At 37.9% G+C, this 25,252-nt stretch overlaps 1 long non-coding RNA gene across 1 annotated transcript in view; it reads right to left on the bottom strand.

The window, feature by feature from the left end:
* Positions 1-24,618, bottom strand: part of LOC107984630 (uncharacterized) — a 28,603-nt gene extending 3,985 nt beyond the window's left edge. Inside the window, exons 1-2 of the long non-coding RNA XR_001751015.3 lie at positions 24,533-24,618; positions 19,412-20,664 (exon numbers count right to left, since the gene is read on the bottom strand). This is a non-coding gene — a long non-coding RNA (uncharacterized LOC107984630). The remainder of the gene's footprint in view (positions 1-19,411; positions 20,665-24,532) is intronic.
* Between the last annotated feature and the right edge of the window lie 634 nt (positions 24,619-25,252).

Genomic DNA, 25,252 nt, shown 5'->3' with positions numbered 1-25,252 from the left:
CTTAAACCAGCATCATTGGAAACAAAAGAACCCCCTAGTCAATTCATGGAAACTTGAGATATGAAAAATTTTTATTGTTATAAGCAACTAAATTTGGGGGCAGTATAGAGATGTAGTAGAGCCATAGCTAAACCTAAAACACATGGCATTGTCTTTGAGCTGAGACTGAGCACAGGCATAGAGAAAAGTAGGAAGACTTAGTGGAGGCTAAAAATGTAATGCGGTAATTAACATTGGAGGCTGGAGGAAGGGTGCCCAGTATCATATAGTGATAGAAAATTTGGCAACACTGTCATCTACAGTAACACAGAAAACAAAAAATACAAATAATGAACTTAAGGATTTGGCAAAAGTGATTTCCAGGCAGGATGCTGAGTGCGTCAATTAGCTTCTTTTAACTGCTGATAATAAAGTGATGAAAAAGAGAGAGGACCTAAAAAAACAAATTCGGATTTCAAGCAGAGTTTAGAGAAGAATTTTCCAAACTAAAAGTTTCAAAGTTGGAAAACAAAACTGTTTCTTGGTCCAAGCCTCTCCAGATGGCAATAAGTTGGCAAAGTAAGAAATGGCTCTGGGAAAAGATCAAACCCAGGATGATGCTGATACAATGTCTCAGATCAGAATCAAGTAAAGGATGTGTTCGTTAGACTCTTTGTTAAGACCTCATAAATATTAAAGCCTTTGCTTCCTAGACTTCTCAGCTAGATTAAAAAAAAAAAAAAAAGGTTTTTAGGCCAGATGCAGTAGCTCATGTCTGTAGTCTCGGCACTTTGGGAAGCAGAGGGGTGAGGGTCACTTGAGGTCAGAAGCCTGGGAAACATAGCAAGACCATGTCTCTACAAAAAAAAAAAAAAAATTAAAATTATCTGGATACGGTGGCACATGCCTGTAGTCTTAATTTTTTGGGAATCTGAGGCAGGAGGATTGCTTGAGCCCAGGAGCTGAAGGCTGCAGTGAGCAATGATTGCCTCACTTCATTTCAGGCCTGGTGACAAAGCAAGACTCTGTCTTAAAAAAAAAAAAAATCTTTTAAACATCTTGAGTTCATGCTGTTTCAGGTGAAAAAAGTAGAAAAAAGTACTTGTAAAACTTTCAAGGGCAACATCTCACAGCGCCCCAATCCTCACCTCAAGGTTGAAAGGTGCCTGTCTTTAAGAGTGTGACCTTAACCCCAGTAGGTGTGGATGCTAGTTCTATTAAGTGTGTGTGGCTTATGTACAATGATGCTAATTCCAATAAGAGTCACAGGAAACCTACAAAGTTCCTAAGAAAACTGTCAGAGTAGGTACTACCAGCTTAGACTAAAAAGGACTGAGAGTTCAAAATGAATCAAGATTTCTGGACTCCTAACATTCTATGGTCAGAAAGCAGGATGAGAAAATTTCTCAACTACAAACATTGCCCACTTCATATGGAAAAGAAAGAATGACTCACTGGCCTAAGATCTTGAAAGCAGAACAAAAAACTAAGGAGAATTATTCATAGGGACCAGCAGTGGGCCCCAATCAATGTAAATTTTTTGAAACTGGCACACAGATTACCAACATCTGTCTGGCTGGATATCAAAATTTGTATAAACAGTTGACCTAAATGTAATTGTTCCCCCCTTTTTGATTGGGAATGTCTATTACGGGGAGACATCTCCCCATTGTTTGTTGGGCATAGGAATGGAGTAGTAGATAGTTCATAGGTCTTTGTACCCAAGAGGATTCATTCTTAACCTGATCTAATTTAGATAAAAAAGTCCTGGAACTTGAGTATGAGCCTAATGTTAAAATGGGATGAGATTTTGGGGAGATAGGCTAAGAATATTTTTCAAGTGTCAGGAATATGAATTCTTATGTCCAGAAGATAAATAGTGGTAGATTGTTTTTACAAAGATGATTATAATAATATCGGCCATCCCATCTACTTCCTTGTGATATGACCTTGCCACTTTCCTATCGAGACATGAAGTCTATTTTCTCTCCCCTTAAATTTGTGATGCTCCAATGACCCACTTTGAACAAAAGAATGGGGGCAGATATTATGCTGTGTAACTTCAGAGTTTTGTTGTTAAAAGATCTATAACTTCCACCTTTGCCACTTGGAACAGTCCTTTTTAGATCTTCACTACCATGCTCACTACCATGCTGCGAGGAAGCCCAAGCAGTTCAAGGGGGAGGCCCAAGTAGATAAAAACTGAGGCCCTTGGCTGAGCTCCCAGTCAGGGCACCAACTGCTAAAAATATAAGTAAGAGCATTTTGGAACATCCAGTCTTCCCAGCACCTCAGCTGATACCAAGTGAATCAGAAATATCCACAAAACCTTCAGAAATACTAAGTTGCTGTTGTCCTAAGCCACTATCTCTTGGGGATGGTTTGTTACACAGTAATAGATAACAGACAAAAATAAGTATATGTGGAGACAGACTGCAAATATCCTAGGTCACTACTCAGGAGCCAGTGAAAAGATCAAAGCAGTGAGGTTATAGTTTTCTACAGCTTCACATAGTTGGCCTTATGTAGTTGATTATGAATCAGCAGTAGTATTTATTTGTCAGTGGTGACTAGATTTTTCTTGGAATCACCAGCATTTGAAATAGTATTTAGTCTAGTCAAGGTTTAAGTGCAAGCAAGTGCGATTTGTGTACTCAGAGATTCTGAGGTCTATGTTCTTACTTTTATAAGTTCGGAAACAAGGAATATTATGCTCAATATATTATGTGATCTAGTCTTAATTATTTTTGTTAGGCTTTTTTTACTTTTCTCCTATATGAGTTTCTAGTTGGTCAAAACAAACTACTCATTTTCCCAAAATATCTTTTCCTCTTTGGATTCCATTTCTTTGCTTCAGTCATTCACTCAATCATTTATGTAGAAGTACTCTGTAAATTAAAAGGAGCTATAAACTTTTATCACTTTGCATTGGATTTTAGTTATGGACATATTTTCTCTATAAAATTATAAGCTACTTAAGAGCAATGAATGTCAATTTTATTTTTGTTTCATCTTCCATGCTAAAATAGATTTAAGCATAGTAATCAAAAGCATTCTCTCTCTCTCTCTCTCTTTCTCATCCATTGTATCTTTTGTAAGTTCCAGGGAAACCTAAAGATTCCTCCCTATAAAATCCGTACTCTTTGGCATGATGAATGAGACCCTTCACTACTGGCCTCCTGCACTCTTTCCAGCCTCATTTCTGGCCTTTTAACCGCTCTCACTAGGGATTTGCAATGATAAAAGAAACTGTAAAGTGAAACTATTAAAAAAAAGAGCATGTTCAGGCTGGGCGCGCTGGCTCACGCCTATAATGCCAGCACTTTGGGAGGCCAAGGCGGATGGATTACCTGAGGTCAGGAGTTCGAGACCAGCCTGACCAATAAGGTGAAACCCTGTCTCTACTAAAGATACAAAAATTAGCCAGGAGTGGTGGCAGGCACCTGTAATCCCAGCAAAATGGGAGGCTGAGACAGGAGAATTGCTTGAACATGGGAAGCGGAGGTTGCAGTGAGCCAAGATCATGCCACTGCACTCCAGCCTGGGCGATGGAGCAAGACTCCATAAAAAAAAAAAAAAAAAAAAAAAAAAAAGAGCACGTTCAAAAGATTTGGGGCAGCCATGAAAAACAGATCACTACTATATAGAACCTGTGACAGAGCCAGATATTGATTTCTCAAGATTCATTCTCCCCTCCTTTAATAATCGAATCTCTGAATATTAACTGGGCATATGACCAATCAAAATATGGACTACATTTCCCACACTTCTTTGAAGCTAGATGTGACAATGTAACTAATTTCTATCCAATGAGATATAAGTACATACAGCTTAAGAAATGCTTAAAAGTAGGACTAAGTACTTCTGCAGATTTTTAAGCAAGGAATGCTTAGAAGTGGGACTAAGTACTACTGACTTTTCTTTCTTCTGCTGCTTAATTGTGGACAACATGAAGCCCGAGAAGCCATCTTGGACCATAGGGTGAAAGCTACAAGTCAAGGATGATAGAACAATGAAATTTAAGAAGCCTGGGTTTCTAATGATCATGGAGTGACTACATAAGCTCTGAAATGCTTATGTCTAGAATTAATTTTGATATGAGAGCAGTACATTTCAACCAAATAACAATGGTTCAAAATGCCACTGTTATTTGGGCATCTCTATCACTCACAGCTAAAACTACTCTTTCCTGATACCATGTCTCAATTGTGGACAAAATGTTGAATAAGCAATCCTCCAAGTACTGGTACTCATATGGGAACTCATGTGGGAACAAGACTCTTATTTCAGTTAAGTCTTTAGTTTTTCATGTCTGGATCAAAGCAATTCATACAAGGAGAGAAAAATATCACTTTCAAAAATAAGATTTGCATTTACTTTCAGTTTTTATTTTACTTTCCATTTTATCTAGTTGAACCTGCCTTTGTATGACTTTTTGACAATGACCTGACACAGTTTCAGAGAAAAAGAGAGAAAGAAAGAGATGTGGTTCCTTCCATGAAAGGATAACAAGGTGCTGATTCCAAACACTGTCCTTATCCATTTTTTTCCTTTCCCTAGATTTTTTCATCCACTTTGTTTCCTAGGTTCTTACACAGAGATGATGAACAGAAAATATTGAGGCAGTTTAATTGCTACCATGTTGTCAGTATTGTCTTATCTGGCACATTTAGCTCCATTCTGGTTCTAAGGCAGCCATGGCTGAGTTCTTTGATGCCAATAACATATACTGAGGGCTCTATAATAAGTAGCACATGAAGCATAAGAGATGAGAAAATCCTGTCATGCAAATACATGAACACCCATGCTCCAATTAGTGGGTGGGGATGGGGATGTCTCTCTATATAATTTTGGATTTGGAGGAGGAGGAGGGATATCAAGAGAAAGTTGTGAGTAGCAAAAACAACAGATGTACTTTGCCATTTCAAGAAAAATAATATCTATTCAGACAGTTGAAAGATTAAATCATTAATTGCCTTTATTAACTAAAATTGTACATTGGCACATTTTCAGGAGCCAAATTCTCTGTAAATTTTTTATTCCCATTATGACTGTTTTCAGCTGTGCTCACCATACTCTTCATGACTTAAATATGATCCTTGTTCTTCTCTATTAGAACATGTCCTTTGCTTCCCTTGAGATTTGATTAAATACTTGCCTTTTACAATAAAAGAGGCTCAAAATCAACCAAGCACCCCAAAATTGGGGTAACTGGTGGTTATACTTGATGTGTTTAAGAGATTGAAGAGAAGATCAAGATGGTGGTTACCATGAGCAGAGAGAGCTGTTTTCGAAGCATGGAATTCTAGACTCAGATCATTGCTGCTCAGAATGGCACCACACAGGCTCCCTGTACTTTGTAAATTCTTTGTTCAGATATGTGATTGACTTCGTTGTAAATATAAGTGACTGATCCATCAGAAATGACTTGGAGCTGCCTTGGATATTTTGAGAGAAAAGCTAAACAACATTATTTTATGTCTACTTTGTGATGGAAATAGCCACTGGGTGTGCAATCATAATTAAGACATGGCCTCTGCCTTGGAAGACTCATATTCTGGTGGGAAATATAGATATTATATTATTTGGGAAACTTGACTTGTAAAAAAGGAAACAACATCATAGTGAATAATTAAAGGAAAGATGCATTTTAAAATTTCAGGTATGCCAAACTACCTAGCAATAACACTTCTGGGTATGTATCCTAGAAAAATGAAACTTACGTTTATACAAAAACATTCACGTGGACATTTATAGAAGTTTTACTTATAATAGCTAGAAAGCTATAAGCAATCCTAACGTTCTTCAGTGAGTGAATGAATCAACAGACTGTGGAGCAGTCATATGATGGAACACCATACAGCAATGAAAAGGAACAAGCTACTGATACATGCGACAACTTGGATGGATCTAAGGGAAATTAAGCTAAGTGAAAAGAGCTCATCTCAAAAGGCTACATACTTCATGATTCTATTCATATAACAGTATTAAATGGCATAATTTTAGACATGAAGAACAAGTCAGTGGTTGCCAGGGTTAGGGTTGCAGGGAGGATCTGGCTATTAAGGGGTAATATGAGGGAATTTTTTTGTGGTATTGGGACAGTTACGTGTCCTGATTGTGGTGATGGTTGCAAGAATCTATACATCTATATATGAGATAAAGTGTCATAGTACTAAAAGCAAACACACAAAAGATGAGTGCATGTAAAAATTGCATAAAGTCTCTGGTTAATAGTATTGTACCAACACCAATTCTGATTTTGATGACATATTACAGTATTAATAATATGAGATGTTATTTTGGGGGGGAGAGTTCAGGTTGGTGAGTGTACAGAGAAAGTGTTCTATTTCTGCAACTTCTTGTGAATCTTAAGTCATTTCAAAACAAAGAGTTTTCAAATTTAAAAAATCTACATATACTTTTTGAGACTAGGAGGCAGAAATTTAGCCAACTCTGTCAGAGTTTTGGAAGTCATTTGAAGGAATACTCTTTCTCTTATTTCTGTTTCTTTTGGTCATGCCCACTTCATTTATATATCTTCAAAATGACTTCTCAAAAATAAGTCATTTTAACAAAAATACACATGCACCTTTATGCTCATCACAGCACTATTCACAACAGCAAAGATATGGAATCAACCTAGATGCTCATTAATGGTGGACTGGATAAAGAAACTGTGGTACCCATACACCAAGGAATACTGTGCATCCATAAAGAAGAATAAAATCAAGTCCTGTGAAGCAACATGGATGCTGTTGGGGGCCATTATGCTAATCAGTTTACTGCAGGAACTTAAAAACCAAATCTCGCATGTTCTCACTTATAAATTGAATACTCATGGACATAAAAATAGGAACAATAGAAACTAGGGACTACTAGAATGGGGAGGGAGGAAGGAGGCCAAGGGTTGAAAAACTAACTGTTGGATACTATGCTCACTACCTGAGTGATGAGATTGATTGTATCCCAAACCTCAGCATCTCACAATATACCCAGCTAACAAACCTGCACATGTACCCCGCAAACGTAAAATAAAAGTTGAACAAAAAAGTTTTTTCTTTTCACTTCTACCTTCCATATATCAGAAAAAGGGAATTTTTGCAATTTCTTAGTTTTAAATCCTCTTCATGTATGAGCCCAGACCAAGATAAAACTGGAATTTCATGATCCCAGCTCCAAATTTTACGGGAAGTGACTGCCATGAATTGGCACAGCCTGGGCTTCCCACCCATTCCTGTTACAGGCAGTTATTGTCAGAGAATTGAATCACATAGTACAAATGAGGCACATTTTCCAAGGAAGGGAGGATGGTTTGAAGCTAGGTAAACACACCAAAAAGTGGTACTACAGATATGCAACCACATCAATTGCTTTACAACTTGGAAAATATGATACCACTTGTATGAAGTCGTTGTGAAGTACAAACACAGATCACCTGATTGTTTGACTAACCATTGACATTGCATTTTTCTTGGTATTGTTTTGTTGGTATTCTTGAATATGACATATACCAACCCCTTCCAGTTAATCTGGTGATCATGTTGCTATGTTTAGCAGATGCTGTGTGGATGCTTATGCAAGGATTCTGTAGGTATCTGTCATTCAGGAGAGGATGGGTTATATTTTTACTGCAGGCAATCCTTCAAGTTTGATGCTTTGTAACAACAACTGCTTATTTCTTGCCCAGATCATATTGACCTCAATCTCAGATTGGCTGCCCAGAGGTGGAGTTTGGACTCTGCTCCATGTCATTGTCACAGAAGACCCAGGCAGACTGAACCTCCACCTTTGGGAACTTCGCTGGTCCCCATGAAACAGAAAGGAGAACATGAAATACTTTGGAGTTTCTAAGCTCTCTAACAAAGGGCAAGAATCTTCACTGCCCTAACATGGCTCATTTTTTCTTCTGTTTTCTCTACATAAGCTGATACAGATAGGGTTTGAGTTGTTTATATGAGATTTTATCAATAGTAAAAATAGACCTTTATCTTACATTTGCAAGTTACCTGGCAATAATCACTTTCTTTTTCTTTGATTCTCAGACACTTTTTGCTTTCCAAGTTATAAAAGAGTAAAGTGATGGATTCCATAACCTCAAAAGCCTGTCTCCTCCCCCTGCTCCATGGATGAAATCTCTTTTAAGTGCAGGCCTCTGCCCTGGGCAGGGAAGCAAGTGCAAATATGGACAATATACAGCTCAGTGAGTAAGACACCGATAAGGAAACAGATTGTAACAATACAGGGTAGTGAGGAGCTGTAAAGAAAAGAACAACACATTATGGATTTCAGATAACACTTTTTAGGGGCTGTGCACGGTGTCTCACACCCGTAATCCCAGCACTTTGGGAGGCTGAGGTGGGCAGATCACCTGAGGTCAGGAGTTCAAGACCAGCCTGGCCAACATAGTGAAACCCCGTCTCTACTTAAAATACAAAAATTAGCCAGGTGTGGTGGTGCGTGCCTGTAATTCCAGCAACTCGGAAGGCTGAGGCAGGAGAACTGCTTGAACCCAGGAAGTTTTGGTTTCATGGAGATTGCAGTGAGCTGAGATTGTGCCATTGCACTCCAGCTTGGGCAAAAGAGTGAGACTCCATCTCAAAACACACAAACAGACAAATAAACAAAAAAAAAAACAGAGATTTTTTAGAGAAGGATCTTTGTGACCAGTGAAAAGCCTTACAGGAAAAACAAAAACAAAAAATAAACACACAGAAAAAAACATTTGAAATTGAGCTTAAGGAATCAATTAAATTTGCATGTACAGAGAAGAAAAAGGGCCTCCTCGTGATAACCCTGTGTGGTAAACAAGGGAAGCTCAAAAAATTTTGTTGAATGAAAGGTGGCCACTATATCAATCACAGCATAAAGCACCCAGATTCTGGATGAAGGAGCTGAAAAGCCACGAGAAGAGGAGGTTGACAAAGAGGGATCTAGGGCACAATGAACAAGTTAATTTTTTTTCTTCAGCTTTTTAAAGTTCAGGGGCACATGTGCAGGATGTGTAGGTTTGTGTATGTCATGGTGGTTTGCTGCATAGATCATCCCATCTTCTAGGTATTAAGCCCAGCATCCATTAACTATGCTTCCCGATGTTCTCCCTACCCACCTCCAACAGGCCTCATTGTATGTTTTTCCCCGCAATATGTCCATGAGTTCTCATCATTCAGCTCCCACTTACAAGTGAGAACATGTGGCATTTGGTTTTCTGTTCCTGCATTAGTTTGCTAAGAATAATGGCTTCCAACTCCATCCATGTCCCTCAAAGGACATGATCTCATTCCTTTCTATGGCGGCATAGTATTCCATGGTGAATATGTACCATAGTTTCTTTATCCAGTCTATCATTGATGGGCATTTTGGCTGATTCCATGTCTTTGTTATTGTGAATAGTGCTGCAATGAACATACACGTGCATGTATCTTTATAACAGAATGAATTATATTCCTTTGGGTATATATATCTAGTAATGGGATTGCTGGGTGAAATGGTATTTCTGCCTCTAGATCTTTGAAGACTCACCAAACTGTCTTCCACAATGGTTGAATTTACACAGTGTAAAAGTGTTCCTTTTTCTCTGTAACCTTGCGAGCATCTGCTGTTTTGACTTTTTAATAATCACCATTCTGACTGGCGTGAGATGGTATCTCACTGTGGTTTTGATTTGCACTTCTCTTTTGGTCAATAATGTTGAGCTTTTTTTCATTTGTTTGTTGGCCACATGTGTGTCTTCTTTTGAGAAGTGTCTGTTCATGTCCTTTGCCCACTTTTTAATAGGGTTGTTTTTATTTTGTGTGTAAATTTGTTTAACTTCCTTGTAGACTCTGGATATTAGGCTTTTGTCAGATGAATGGGTTGCAAAAATGTTCTCCCATTCTGTAGGTTGTGTGTTTGCTCTGATAATAGTTTCTTTTGCTGTGCAGAAGCTCTTTAGTTTAATTAGATCCCACTTGTCAATTTTTGCTTTTGTTGCAATTGCTTTTGAAGCTCATCATGAAATCTTTGCCCATGCCTGTGTCTTGAATGGTATTGCCTAGATTTTCTTCTAGGGTTTTTTATAGTTTGGGGTTTTCAATTTAAGTCTTTAATCCATCTTGAGTTAATTTTTGTATATGGTGTAAGGAAGCAGTCCAGTTTCAATTTTCTGCATTTAGGTAGCTGGTTCTCCTAGCACCATTTATTAAATAGGAAATCTTTTCCCCATTGCTTGTTTTTGTCGGGTTTGTGAAAGATTGGATGGTTGTAGTTGTGAAGTCTTATTTCTGAGTTATCTATGCTGTTGCATTGGTCTATGTTTCTTTTCTTGTACCAGTAGCATGCTGCTTTGGTTACTATAGCCTTGTAGTATAGTTTGAAGTCAGGTAGCATAATGCCTCCAGCCTTATTCTTTTTGCTTAGGATTGTCTTGGCTATTCAGGCTCTTTTTTGGTTTCATGTGAATTAAATTTTTTTTTCTAATTCTGTGAATACTGTCAATGGTAGTTTAATGTGAATAGCGCTGAATCTGTAAGTTACTTTGGGCAGTATGGTCATTTTTATGATATTGATTCTTCCTATTCATGAGCATGAAATATTTTTCTATTTGTTTGTGTCCTCTCTGATTTATTTGAACAGTGGTTTTTAGTTCTCCTTGAAGAGGACCTTAACTTCCCTTGTTAGCTGTATTCCTAGGTATTTTATTCTTTTTGTAGCAATTATGAATGGGAGTTCATTCATAATTTGGCTCTTTGCTTGCCTGATGCTGATATACAGGAATACTACTAATTTTTGCACATTGATTTTGTATACTGAGACTTTGCTGAAGTTGCTTATCAGCTTAAGAAGCTTTTGGGCTGAGATGATGTGGTTTTCTAGGTACAGAATTATGTCATTTGCAAACAAAGATCATTTGAGTTCCTCTTTTCCTATTTGAATAGACTTTACTTCTTTCTCTTGCTTGATTTCCCTGGCCAAAACTTCCAATACCATGTTGAATAGGAGTGGTGAGGGAGGCCATCCTTGTCTTGTGATGGTTTTCAAGGAGAATGCTCCCAGGTTTTGCCCATTCAGTATGATATTAGCTGTGGGTTTGTCATAAATGGCTCTTATTATTTTGAAGCATGTTCCTTCAATATCTAGTTTATTGATAGTTTTTAACATAAAGGAATGTTGAATTTTATCAGAGGCCTTTTCTCCATCTATTGAAATAATCGTGTCATTTTTGTCTTTAGTTCTGCTTATGTGATGAATCACATTTATTGATTCATATATATTGAACCAACCTTACATCATGGGAATGAAGCCAGTTTGATTATTGTGGATAAGCTTTTTGATGTGCTGCTGGATTCGGTTTGTCAATATTTTACTGAGGATTTTTGAATCAATGTTTATCAAAGATATTGGCCTGAAGTTTTTTATTGTTGTATCTCTGCTAGGTTGTGGTATCAAGATGATGCTGACCTCATAGAATGAATTAGGGAGGAGTCCCTCCTTTTCAATTTTTTGGAACAGTTTCAGTAGAAATGGTACCAGCTCTTCTTTGTACCTCTGGTAGAATTCTGATGTGGATACATCTGGCCCTGGGCTTTTTTTTGGTTGGTGGGCTATTTATTATATTACAGCCTCAATTTCAGACTCTTTATTGGTCTATTCAGGGATTCCGTTTCTTCCTGATTTAGTTTTGGGAGCATGTATGTGTCCAGGAATCTCTCAATTTCTTCTAGATGTTCTAGTTTATGTGCATAGGGGTACTTACCGTATTCTCTAATGGTTGTTTGTATTTCTGTGGGGTCAGTGGTTATATCCCCCTTGTCATTTCTGATTGTGTTTATTTGATTCTTCTCTCTTTTCTTATTAGTCTAGCTAGTGGTCTATTTTATTAATTTTTTCAAAACACCAGATCTTGGATTCATTGACTTGTTGCAGATTTTTCATGTTTCTATTTCTTTCAGTTCAGCTCTGATCTTGGTCATTTCTTGTCTTCTGCTAGCTTTGGGGTGTGTTTGCTGTTGGTTCTCTAGTTCTTGTAGCTGTGATGTTAGGTTGTTAACTTGAGATCTTTCTAGCTTTTTGATGTGGGCATTTAGTGCTATAGATTCACCTCTTAATACTGCTTTAGCTGGATCCCAGAGATTCTAGTACGTTGTCTCTCTGTTCTCATTAGTTTGAAACACCTTCTTGATTTTTGCCTTCATTTCATTATTTACCCAAGAGTCATTCAGGAGCAGGTTGTTCAATTTCCATGTAGTTGTGTGGTTTTGAGTGAATTTCTTAGTCTTGAGTTCTAATGTCATTGTGCTGTGGTCTGAGAGGCTGTTATGATTTCACTTCTTTTGCATTTGCTGGGGAGTGTTTTACTTCTGATTATGTGATCAATTTTAGAGTAAGTGCCATGTGGCAATGAGAAGAATGTATATTCTGTTGTTTTTGGGTGGAGAGTTCTGTAGACATCTATCAGGTCCACTTCATCCAGAACTGAGTTCAGGTCCTAAATATCTTTATTAATTTTCTGTCTCAATGATCTGTCTAATATTGTCAGTGGGATGTTAAATTCTCCCATTATGATTGTGTGGGAATCTAAATTTCTTTGTAGGTCTCTAAGAACTTGCTTTATGAATCTGGGTGCTCCTGTATTGGGTGCTTATATATTTAGGATAGTTAGCTTTTTTGTTGAATTGAACCCTCTACCATTATGGAATGCCATTCTTTGTCATTTTTTATCTTTGTTGATTTAAAGTCTGTTGTGTCAGAAACTAGGATTGCAACCCCTGCTTTATTCTGTTTTCTATTTTCTTGGTAAATTTTCCTCCATTGTTTTATTTTGAGCCTATATGTGTCTTTGCACATAAGATGGGTCTCTTGAAGACAGCATACCAATGGGTCTTGGCTCTTTATTTATCTTGCCATTCTGTGTCTTTTAATTGGGACATGTAGGCCATTTACATTTAAGGTTAGTATTGTTATATGTGAATTTGATCCTGACATCATGATGCTAGCTGATTATTTTGAAGGCTTGTTTATGTGGTTGCTTCATAGTGTCACTGGTCTGTGTATTTCAGTGTGTTTTTACTGAACTAGTGGCTAGTAATGGTTTTTCCTTTCCATATTTAGTACTCCCTTCAGGAGTTTTGCAAGGCAGTCCTGATGGTGGGGAATTATCCCAACATTTGCTTGTCTGAAAAGGATCTTATTTCTCTTTCAATGATGAAGCTTAGTGTGGCTGGATACAAAATTCTGGGTTGGAAATTATTTTCTGTAAGAAGGTTGAATATTGGCCCCCCAATCTCTTCTGGCTTGTAAGGTTTCCACTGAGAGGTCTGCTGTTAGTCTGATGGGCTTCCCTTTGTAGGTGACCTGGCCTTTCTCTCTGGCTGTCCTTAACGTCTTTTCTTTCATTTCAGCCTTGGAGAATCTGATGATTATGTGTCTCGGGGTAGATCTTTTTATGGAATATCTTACTGGAGTTCTCTGCATTTCTTCAATTTGAATGTTGGCCTGCCTTATTAGGTTGGGAAAATTATCCTGGATGATATCCTGAAGTATGTTTTCCAATTTGGCTCCGTTATCCCTGTCTCTTTCAGGTACCTCAACCAATTGTAGACTCAATCTCTTTACAAAATCCCATATTTCTCAGAGGTTTTGTTTGTTTCTTTTCATTCTTTTTTTCTCTATTCTTGTCTGCCTGTCTACTTCAGAAAGATCATCTTCAAGCTCTGAGATTCTTTCCTCTGCTTGGTCTATTCTGCTATTGATACTTGTGATTACATTGTGAAGTTCTTGTATGGTGTTTTTCAGCTCTATCAGGTCAGTTATTTTCCTCTTTAAACTGGCTATTCGGGCTATCAGTTCCTGTATTGTTTTATCATGATTCTTAGCTTCTTTGCATTGGGTTACAGCATGCTGCTTTAGTTCAGTGAAGTTCATCGTTACTCACCTTCTGAAGCCTACTTCTGCCAATTCAGCCATCTTAGCCTCAGCCTAGATCTGTATCCTTGCTGGAGAGGTGTTGCAGCCATTTGGAGAAGAGGCATTCCATCTTTTTTATATTTCCATCATTTTTGCATTGATTTTTCTCATCTTTGTGGACTTATCTACTTTTGATCTTTGAGGTTACTGACCTTTGAATGGGGATTTTGTGGGGTCTTTTTGTAGATGTTCTGTTGTTGTTTTCTGTTTGTTTTTCTATTAGTGATCAGGCCACTCTTCTGTAGTGCTGCTGCTGTTTGCTGGGGGTACTCTTCAGACCCTAGAGTTGCCTCAGTTTTTTTTGTACCTGGAGGTATCACCAGTGAAGGCTGCATAACAGCAAAGATGGCAGTCTGCTTCTTCCTCTGGAAGCTCTAGCCCATGGGGTTAATGACATGTTCCTGGCCTGAACGTACCTGTGAAAAGTGGCTGGAGACCTTGGATGGGAGTCAGAGGAACACTATCAGTCAGGAGGAACAGGATCAATAATCTACTTAAAGAAGCAGTCTGGCTGCTTTTTGGTAGAGCAAGTGTGCTGCATTGTGAGGGACCCTTCCTCATCCAGACCATTGGACTCTCCAAAGCTGGCAGGCTGGATGGCTGAGACAACTGAATCATAGAGATGGCAGCCACCCCTGCCCCTGGGAGCGCCATCTGAGGAAAAGATACGAGTTCTCTCTGTATAACCCTGGCTGGAGTGGCTGAAGCCCCCACAGGAAGATCCCACCCAGTGAGGAGGCACTCATTCCTCTCCATGAGTGCTGTGGACCACAGCTGCTTCCAATCAGCCATCTTGGCCTCTCCTCTAATTTTTTTTTTAATAGTAGCTTGTCCATTAAAGGAATAATAAGGATGATAGACTTTTCCTACTTTATAATCTTACCTATGGCTGATCCTGATGGAAATTTTTATTTCCAAGTGGCTTTAGTACTGAAAGCATCATGGGTTTTAAATCTAAAAACCACAAGTCTCATTTCTTTTTTTTTTTTTTTTTTTTGAGACAGGGTCTCCATCACCCAGGCTGGAATGCAGTGGCTCATGGCTCACTGCAACCTCTGCCTCCCAGACTCAAGCAATCCTCCCACCTCACCCTCCTGAGTAGCTGGGACTACAGGTATATACCACCATGCCTGGCTAATTTTTTTGATTTTTAATAGAGAAGAGGTCTTGCTCTGTTGCCCAGGCTAGTCTTGAGCTCCTGAGTTCAAGCAATCCTCCTGCCTTAGCCTCCCCAAGTGCTGAGATTACAGATGTAAGCCACTGTACTCAGCCTGTCTCACTTCTTATCAGGCTGGGCCTAAACCCACAGGGACTTTTATATTACTCAAACCAATGGCAGAAGAGAAGAGCTTGAACAATCTGAAGTATTGAATACCACAGAGAGAATGACTGAGAGTGTTTGTCCTTGTTGGTTTATTAAATACAACACCTTTTTTTTTTCACCTTTTGCTAGTTTTCATGATTACTCTAAGATTTAAAATGTGCATCGTTAACCAGAGTCTCTGCTTTCAAATAATATACCACTTCACAGATAAGAACCTTATAACAGTATATTTTCATTTCCTTCTTCCCATCCTTTGGGCACTCTTTTAAAACATTTTAACTCTACATGTTATAAACCCCACCCTTCATTGTTATTGAAAGAAAGACTTTCATATTTGCCACGTATTTGTCATGTCCAGTATTTTAATTCTTTTTTTGAAGCCATGTTCCCATCTGGTATCATTTTTCTTCAGTGTGAAAACTTTCTATATTATTTCTTTAAATCCAAGTCTGCAGGCAACAAATTCTCCTGGCTTTTGTTTGTCTGGAAATTTCCTTATTATGCCTTCATGTTTAAAGATATTTTTGCTAGATTTAGAATGCAATTTGATTGTTTATTTTTTTCTTTCACTACTTTTAAACTGGGTCTTTCTTTTTCTTTCCTTCATTTATCTTATTTCTTTTGACATGTCCTCAGTAATTTTTTTTTCTTTTCTCTCTATATATCATGTCTCCACCCTCACCTCTGGTAGATTTAAATCTTCTTTATTGTGGTTCTCAGAAATGTGTTTATGATGTACCTTGGTCTCATAGTTGGTTGTGTGTGTGTGTGTATGTGTGTGTGTGTGTGTGTGTGTGTCTGTATTGTGTTTATGTATATGTATGCTACTTCTGGTTCACTGAGCTCCTTGAATCTTCAGATTAAGAGTTTCTATCAAATTAAGAAAATTTGAGGGCATTATTTCTTTATACCTCCCAAACACTTTCTGTATCTTTCTGGGGTTCTGTATTCACATATGCTACAATACTTCATATTGTCCCACTGGCCTCTGACATTGTGTTGATTGCTTAGTCGTTTATATCAGTGCTTCAGTTCGGATAGTTTTTATTGCAATGTCTTCAAATTTACTAATGTTTACTTCTGCACTATCCAATCTGCTGTTAATCACATCCACTGAGTTTTTCACTTCAAATATCGTATATTTCGTCTTTAGCATTTCCACCTGGAACTTTTTTATAGCTTTCCTTTCTCCTCACATCACATTTATCTTTTTGGTTTAACACTTGAACGTATTGAATTTATTCCTAATAGCAGTTTTAAAGTTTTTTTCTGATAATTTTATTATTTCTGTCATTTTTGGTCTGTTCCTATTGGCTGACTTTTCACCTGGCTCTTCATCTCATTTTTCTTCATTTTTTTATGGCTAGTAATTTTTTCTTTGGATATCAGACACTATCATCTAATAGTATAAATATGTAAAGTATCATATTTTATGTCATTTAAGGTGTTTTTTTCCCAATAAAGTGTTGGAAAAATGTTTTAACTAGCCTTGAATTTGTTTGCAGATTAACTTCATCATTTTTTAAGCCTTATTTTTAGTAGTGTAATGTAGTATTTACCATAGGACCAGTTGTACCTGAATGCCCCATCCTGGCTGATTGGAATTCGCATGTCTCCCAGCTTTGTTTGAGCTCTGGGCATTGTTCAGTTTATGGCTCCCTGAGAGTTCTTTGTCAGACTTTATGGATTTTCTACTCTATGCATGTGTAGCTCAGTATTCAATAACAGATTCAAAGGTGCCCTATGCACCTATGAAGATTTCTGAAGGTTTTCCTCTATGTGTTCCTCTTCTGTCTAGTACTATGTCCACACATTCCATCTGTCTTAGCTTCCTGGAACTCTGATCTCTACCTATTCAATGCACTAAAATCACCATGCTGTGTCTGTTTGAGTTCTTTCTCTCTCTTTCCAAATCTGGAAAGTTACCCCAAGCAGAATGCCTGGGCAATTCAAATTTGTTTCCTTTGCAATCACAGCAAGGGAATCTTAGCAGTCTCAGCAACCTTAGTCCTAGGCTGTCTGTGGTCCGATGCCTAAAAATAGTTGTTTCATACATTTTGTTCAGTTTTCTACTTGTTTACATTACAGAGCTAATGTTGTTGACAGTTACTCCCACTGTAACTGTAATTTTTTGGGGAAAATTTGCTTCTTGCTCCTGCAATGAACTAAATAGATAGCAGTCCTCTCTCCTATTTGTTGAAAAACATGTGACTGTTATATCTTAAACTTCTGAGAGACACATCAATATTTATCTTAAATTATCCTAGAGTATTAAATGATGACAGCTACTCAAAAGGGGTCCTAGCACTTAAAACAAAACCAAAAACTACTTCCCCTCTGCAGTTCCTGTTGAAAGCTGCCATCACTGGGTCGCAATGCAAAGCACGTTTATTTGATCTAGCTTTTGACTGGTTAGTATTTTTGTCTCATTTCTTGTAGTTTGCCAGATCAATCTATGCCCGGTAATGGCAGAAACATTGGTCAATGATATTCATTGGGAGTAACTCATGTAATTTATGGTTAATTTTAAAATTCAATGAATAGTTGCCAGAATAGGCACTTTCTAAATCACCAAAGTAAATAATAAATGTTCCTTCCAATGAGAATTCTGGGCTTAGAGAATTTTAGTCCAAAAAGCAATGGAAAGAAAGAGAAAGAGGAAAGAAATAAAGCAACAGTAGTTTTTTTTTTTTTTGGGGGGGGGGTCTCTTTTATAAAAATAATGCCCAATGTATATTCATGAATTTACGTAGTTTTTTATGTTTGTGACTCAAGAGTTAACTTTTCAATCTTTATCTAAAAGTGAAAGGATTTCCCTAGCTTCCCTCCTGTCTTCAATCTTACAAGGTAATTTCAAAAGAATTTCTACCCTTTAAATACATGAGCATGTGGACCAAATATAAGTTGACAGATTTTTACATAATAATTATTGATAAATAGCAACCTATAGCAGAGTGTGGCATGGCACATGCGGGGAGGGGACAGGAAGGGGCTTGAGGAGGAAGGTGCAGCTGCTTTGTGGGAGGCCACCAAGATCAATTCAATTTGACACATTTTCATTGATCATTTGCAAGAAGATGTACAGGTGTTTGAAGTAAAATGTTTTTAGATTGCAGAATAAAAACATTAAAGAGGGAAAAAGATCTGATGCTAGAGCTGTAAAAGGTAGGAAAACACTGAAAGCAGAAATACTGTAGACACAGAGTAGGCAGCATCCAAGTATGAGTCTGTAAAGCATTAGCCAGTTTTTTTAAAAAAGTTTTATTTCATGATGTCATCATGGTTGATCTGTCTCCAGTTCTTAGGTGGAGCTTTTCAATTTTAGAAGATCTTGTTGTTAGTTTTTTTTGTGATGACTGTATCAGCAAGAACTGAAATATATGTATGTATGTGTGTGTGTGTGTGTGTGTATTTCAGTTCTTCAAATTTAAATTTTGAACTTGCAGGTATGATAAGCTTTTTGGAAAAGCAAAATTTTATTTAATTAGACCAAGGGTTTGCATAGCTACTTGTGCTACCCTTGACCTCTTCTCACTCTTCCAGATAAAACTGCTTTGTCGTCTTTCTTTCCTTTCCGTTGAACCTGCCCAATGTCCTGAGACTTGCTGGCCTAATCCACCTCCCGCTAGCTCTCCCCTCCTTGAACTCACAACTTGCATACTGTCTAATATGAAATTGATTTTGAATTACCTAGTCTTTAACGTTCATAAATGGAGCATTCTTCATTGTAAACATTGAATTGCAGTTCTCCCAAGGGCTCACACTGCTCTTTGGGCTGCCTTCTGGGCATAGAGGGGCAGTGATGATTTATCAGGTGGTTTGGGTTCCAAATCTCCCATGAACAAAGTTGAATAGAAGAATCTCTAATTTGAAGAATTATCTGTTTAATCTAAGTATTTAATCTTAGCATCTTCTATGATATTTCCTAGACCTTGGTTTACAGTGGTCAATGAGGACTCTGAAAACACTTAAACTGCAAATTCAAATACCTTCAGGGACCATGCATGTTAGGAGGCCAACATGTGATCCTATGGCAAAAGGAATGTGAGACATGTGGAAAACCTAGAAAATACAATTCCTGTACCAAACCTATAAATAAAAATAGCTTATTAACTTCATTTTACAGATGGAAAAACTGAGGCAGAGAGAAATTAAGTGACTTACCTAAGGACCCAAAGTTTACTAGCGTTAGAGCCAGGTTCAATCCAGGACATCCATGTGGCAACAGAATTTATGCTCTGGGTAGTCAGTGTAAGAAGTGTAATTTGGAAACCCAAACAGCAGGACATCTGTAAGGACTGAATGTCTCAGGAAGAGAAAAGAAATGAAATCAGTTAAACAATCTGGCCATAGTCAAGGAAATAAGAAGAGCTTTAATCCCAAAGTTCACTCCTTTTCTCAACTAGGAAACTTTCCTTCTTGTTAGATGAGGAGTCCATCCCCAAGTGAGGCCAGGTCAGGGCCTGCAGGACCGAGCGCAGTGGGGTTCCCTGGCAGGAGGGCAGTGCTGTGGGAGGAAGGGTCCTGAAGAGTGTAAGGGATACTCACAAAAGGCCAGGGGCTCATGAACAGGAGGATGATCTACCTCTCAAACACCTCCAAAATTCACCAGAGAGCTCAGGAACTATTTCAACAGGAAATGCCATATGAGGTCTATTGAGAACATTGAAATTGAGGCACAGACAAGGAAGTTATCCATTTAGAGATGATTGTTAATCCAGGGGAAAGACTAACAGTCAACCAATTTTGGCTTCCTGCAATCTGGCAGTTTTCCTAAATACTGATTAAAAATGAATTGTATTAGTTCATCTCTCCATTCAAAATGACTGAGAACACTATTTGTAGAGATCATCATTGCTAAAAACCAATTGGTAAGAAAAGCCATGAGCAATTTTCACTATACTGCTCCTCTCCAAATTTCATATTTCTTTTTTGCCATTTCATGTCTTTGAAGACCCCCTTTCCCCACCCTACTATAAGCTTTACAATATCCTTCAAACTTTAGAGAGCGGAAGAAAGTACCTGAATATAAGCCTAGCCTGACTTCTCTCTGGCTATACAGACTGTGGAGAAAAAAGCATGGTGATAAGGAGACCCTATGCATGCATGATTGGGTCAGCACTGGTTGGATAACAGCCCCTTTGTTATCTTCTACAAATCTGCTTTAATGCTACTTTACAGTCCCAATCCCAAAGGTCAGGAAGGAAACTTAATTAATATGTTTCAATCACTGTAAGCACCTTTGACAAAGGTAGTATATTGCAGTAATTCCGAAAAATGTTTTCAACCTCTGAAGATTTCCCTGGGGATGCTCTGTTCGCCAGACACATAAAATCTTTCTGCCTTTTGCTCTGTTATTCACACTCTCTGATGGAGCTGACTGCAGACCCAGTCAACTTGTTATACCTGTCGACCAACTGGAAGAAGAAAAAGAAAGGAAAACCTTTCTAGTTATTTGCTGGGACTCAAAGCTAAATCATGTGGCTCTTGAGCTTTAACTGAAGGGTATGCGTGTGTGTTACTGCTTGCTTGGGTCCACATAACTGCAATTTGAGGCTGCCAACAATTGAGTGGGAAATGGCTTTTACAGCTGAGTAGCTTTTTAATTTTTCTCAACAAAACATGTACTGGTGTTAGGTCTCTGTTGGTAATAGTGGCTAGCTGCATTATGTGGTACCTTGGCTGGTAATCCCTCTAAGTGGTTTTCCAAGTGCTTATGTATCCTAAGAACACATAAGCATGAGGATAAAGGGGCTGGCCTCCAGCTGGTGCAATACAGATGCTCTGATGTCTGGGTGCTTTGATAAAATGGAGAGGCATGCCAGAATTGTCAGTGCATCTGGACTAGGTATTGGTAAACTATTGGGCCCCTGAAATGATTCTGTATTCAGCAGGAAGAAGGCCAGGATTGAAAGAAGCCAAACTGCTTGGAAATGAACACACCTATGCGGAAAAAAAATAAAGGGGGATTTTCCAACCTCATTCCTCCCTGATTCTCAGGCAGTTGTCCATGGATGGAATCGATCATGTCCTCATATTTTCCCCTTTGCTCTATGTCCAAGCAACTTGTCCTTTTTTCTGGAAAACTGCTTGTTACAGTCCTTTCCTTTAGGCCATTTATGGAGTTGGGATAGCTAGACATTATTTTACTAATTCTCAGATGAATAACAAACCTCTTTCATCAGTACCAGTTTTAACTCTTCTGCATTGTAGGGTCATATACCCTATTTCTATGGCAACATCTTTCCATAGGACATATTTTTTCATCCTGATAGTGGCGAGCGTTCTTTAGTTTATGGAAGGATTTTATTGTTAGTTTCCTAAACTCTCCCTGTCCCAGATCCAATGTTACATCTTAACTCCAGTTATCATCTCTATTTGATTGTGTAGCTATTGAATCAATCCACAATACCTACACCCTCTGCCTAGCCATGGGCACCATAAGTCATCTTTCCATATTTGATTATTTACTTATTCAAATGTATTTCTTTTTGTGCCTGCTAGGCACAAGAATTGGGGCACCATCTCTTTTATCAAAGAGCCTATGGGGTAATAAAGAAGACAAATGTGAACAAATTATGGCTACAAAATAAAGCACATTTGAGTCAGCAGTCAACCTAAAAAAAAGTAAGACTTTAATGATAACCCATTACCTACATTGCTAGTGTGTGTTTTGAAAGTACTGAGGTAACTCCATAGGATACAGAAATCTAAATTATGTTGCTTATTGAAAGCATTTATTACTGGGCAGCACTAGTTACATTAATTCAAAAAACATGTTTATTTTAGTACACCTTTGTACTAGGCATTGTTCTTAAACACCCACCAGATACCAACATGATGCTCTCTTTCCTCTACTTTCAGGACAGTCACTGTCTAGCAGCCAGAAGAGCTATATTAATCTAACATTATATTAGAGCATGCCAAGAGCTAAGAAGTAAGAGGGGTCACAGTAGGCTCTGGGAACCCATAGGAGTCACAAGAGGCTCTGGGGTAGTGGCAAGTTTGCCAAGGAAGGTTTTTCTCCTGGTGGGTTGGGCTTTCTCCAAGCGGAAAATGAGAAAGGCATTCCAAACAGAGGAAAGAGCATGTGCAAATAGTCAAAAACAGAAAAGCAGCAAGATTCTTTCTATATAGCAATAAACATAAATTAATAATATTACTCAATGGGTTTTTGTAACGAGTTTGCATTTTGAAAACACTTTGCAGTGCATTATGAAATTTAATCTACATTTTGATTGGAAAAAATAAAAGGTATGATATCATATCAAGGGGAAGCAAGAGAAATCCACTGTTATCATGAGCTGTGTCCCCCCTGGAGCTCTGCTGTCATATCCTCTCTGGGATGGGGCTGCTGGGGATTTTGTGTCTTTTCTTTGAGACGAGAGCTTCACTTTGTACTTTGTCAGGACTGCCATTGGCCTGTGGGAGATGGGGTGGAGATAGTAACACTCGTCTTTGTGCCTCACAAATGAATTCAGTTGTTATTTGGCATTTTGCCATTCAGTGACATTTTTCTTAAAACAATTTTAATCAACTATTAATTCAGCGGAATCTCAGCTAGAAGCCAAAATGCATGCATATGGCCCGAGGATAGTTACTCAAGAGACATCATTGGAATCAGCCTAGGTGAACCTACAAGATGTGAGTGCCTCTCAAGAGAGATTTAAAATTGAAATTGATTCTATTAAAGCTGTCTCAGTTACACTGACAAAATGTCTCCCCATCCAGAAAAGTAGAACTATCTGAGAATGAAGACAAATGTGAAAATATTCTCATCGTCAAGGAAGATGTGAGGAACACAAACTTAATGTAGGACGTAACTAGCAATTAATAGCCTTGTCAGTCTCTAGACCCTTTCTTGGCCCTGCTCTATGAACACTGTTAGTAAAACTTGTAAGTATTCTATAAACATTGCCCTATGATTGAACTAGATTAAATTTCATTTGTTTATTTTTACAATGGGGAAATCTGAAGGACAGGCAGGCAAGTAGAATTGCCTTTGGCAACTCCGTTTTCAGGCTTTGGAATTAGAAGGGTGTTTGAGGCACCTTCTCTCCATTTCTTATTCTAACTATTAGTATATACTCCCTGCTGTAGTTGGATTAATTGAGTCACTACTGGAAATTTTCTTAGATTTTCCTTTGCTAATTGAAAAAGGATTCTAATTCCCAAGCTTCCCTGCAGGCTTCATGCAGACATTATTTTGGAAGTCAACATGAAAGAGAAAATTGCTTGTGTTTCTTGTGCTTTTTTTCTTTAAAATTGAGAAAAATGTTGACGAACTGAGCCATGAGAAGACATTTGAATTTTATATCAGATCAAGTTATATATATTTAGCTTATTTTTTGCTTATATGCTAGTGTATAATTATTCCAATGCTGACCTAAAGAAACCATGGAAAGGCCTGACTTTTCTTCCCCTAAATGGAATTCCACTTATGATGCATTTTGTCAGCCAGATTTCAATATTTTTTAAAGGGTAAACATTGAATTATATTTACTTAGTAATAAAAGGCCTGAGTTCATAATGTCTTCACTAGATCACATTTACCTGCATTTTATTTTATTTATTTATTTATTTTTATTTATTTATTTTTTGAGACAGAGTTTCACTCTGTTGCCCAGGCTGGAGTGCAGTGGCACAATCTTGCCTCATTGCAATTTCCACCTCCTGGGTTCAAGCGATTCTCCTGCCTCAGCCTCTTGAGTAACTGGGATTACAGGCACCCGCCACTACGCCCAGCTAATTTTTGTATTCTTAGTAGACACAGGGTTTCACCATGTTGGCCAGTCTGGTCTTGAACTCCTGACCTCAAGTGATTCGCCCACCTCAGCCTCCCAAAGTGCTAGGATTATAGGCATGAGCCACCACGCCCGGCCACCTGCATTTAAAAGATTCACTCCACTAGAAAATGTTTCTATTCTCTTTCAAGTTCTTCTAAAAGTGAAAATTATTAATAATCTTGCTCTTTCATTTGAAGATAATTATATTTTTGTTAGAAAGATTAATAAAATGAAAATGTTTTCTTTAAAAATTAAAATGAACATTTTTCTTCTGTTCCACTTTTATTCATTGATATTTAAAGCCTTTTGTTAGTAATTTAGGTCAGTGTCAAATTCTCAGTTCTCATAATTCATATCAAAACTCAAGAAAAACTTATTCTTTGCATGTATTTTAAAAGTGCCAAAGGCTCAGAACTGAGAGTATTTAAGAATATTTAAAAGCAACCATTTTATTTCATGCTGATTAGACTCAACGATTTGATGATTGTCTCATAGATACCTGGACAAGCTTCCTGAAACACTGCCTGAGCAGTGAGTTGCTGAATATGTTCATCATGACAATCTTGTGAAGTCTGTTAAGCTGGCCCCGTTGTTTCAGAGAACACAAGATTTGTTATGTTAGTCCATCAAATTGATTTTTTGCTCTTGTCACATGCTGCCCTTGTCTTCTTCCCCTGTCTCCTATTGTCTTCTTCCCCTGTCTCCTAAAGTCTTAAAGTAGAATAAGCAGTTCCCTGAGACGAAAGACTGAATTAGATGCTAGGCATCTTTTATTTGCAAGTAACATAAAATCAAATTTCTGCTGGCTCAAGCAACGATTGAACTACAGGAGAAGTTCCAGAGCAATTATGTCTGAGTTTGTGTTCCAGGTAGCCGTGGTACTGATCAGTCCTTTAATCACCATGGTGATGGAAGAAGACGAACACAGGAAGCATACTATAAAATATTTCACTGAGGGAGGAAGTATTCTGTGACATCTATAAGCTTTTACAAAAATTGTACATCTCTGATTTAGGCAGAAGGAGTCTATAGAGCAACCATCATGACATCGACATATCTCTAAGAGTTTATGAACCAAGATTGTAAGAGACTATGGGTATAGAAAAGGGAGCCTTGAACTAGTAACAAAGGCAAAATGTACGTCTTTCATAATTATTTGGTTTTCCACTTCAGGACTGTGGAAATCTGTGCCTACATGATCAATGACATGGTAAAGTAT

This window comes from Homo sapiens, chromosome 14 (assembly GCF_000001405.40).
Source record: "Homo sapiens chromosome 14, GRCh38.p14 Primary Assembly".
Taxonomy (NCBI): Eukaryota; Metazoa; Chordata; class Mammalia; order Primates; family Hominidae; genus Homo; species Homo sapiens.
This window is presented reverse-complemented; position numbering and strand designations above follow the sequence as displayed.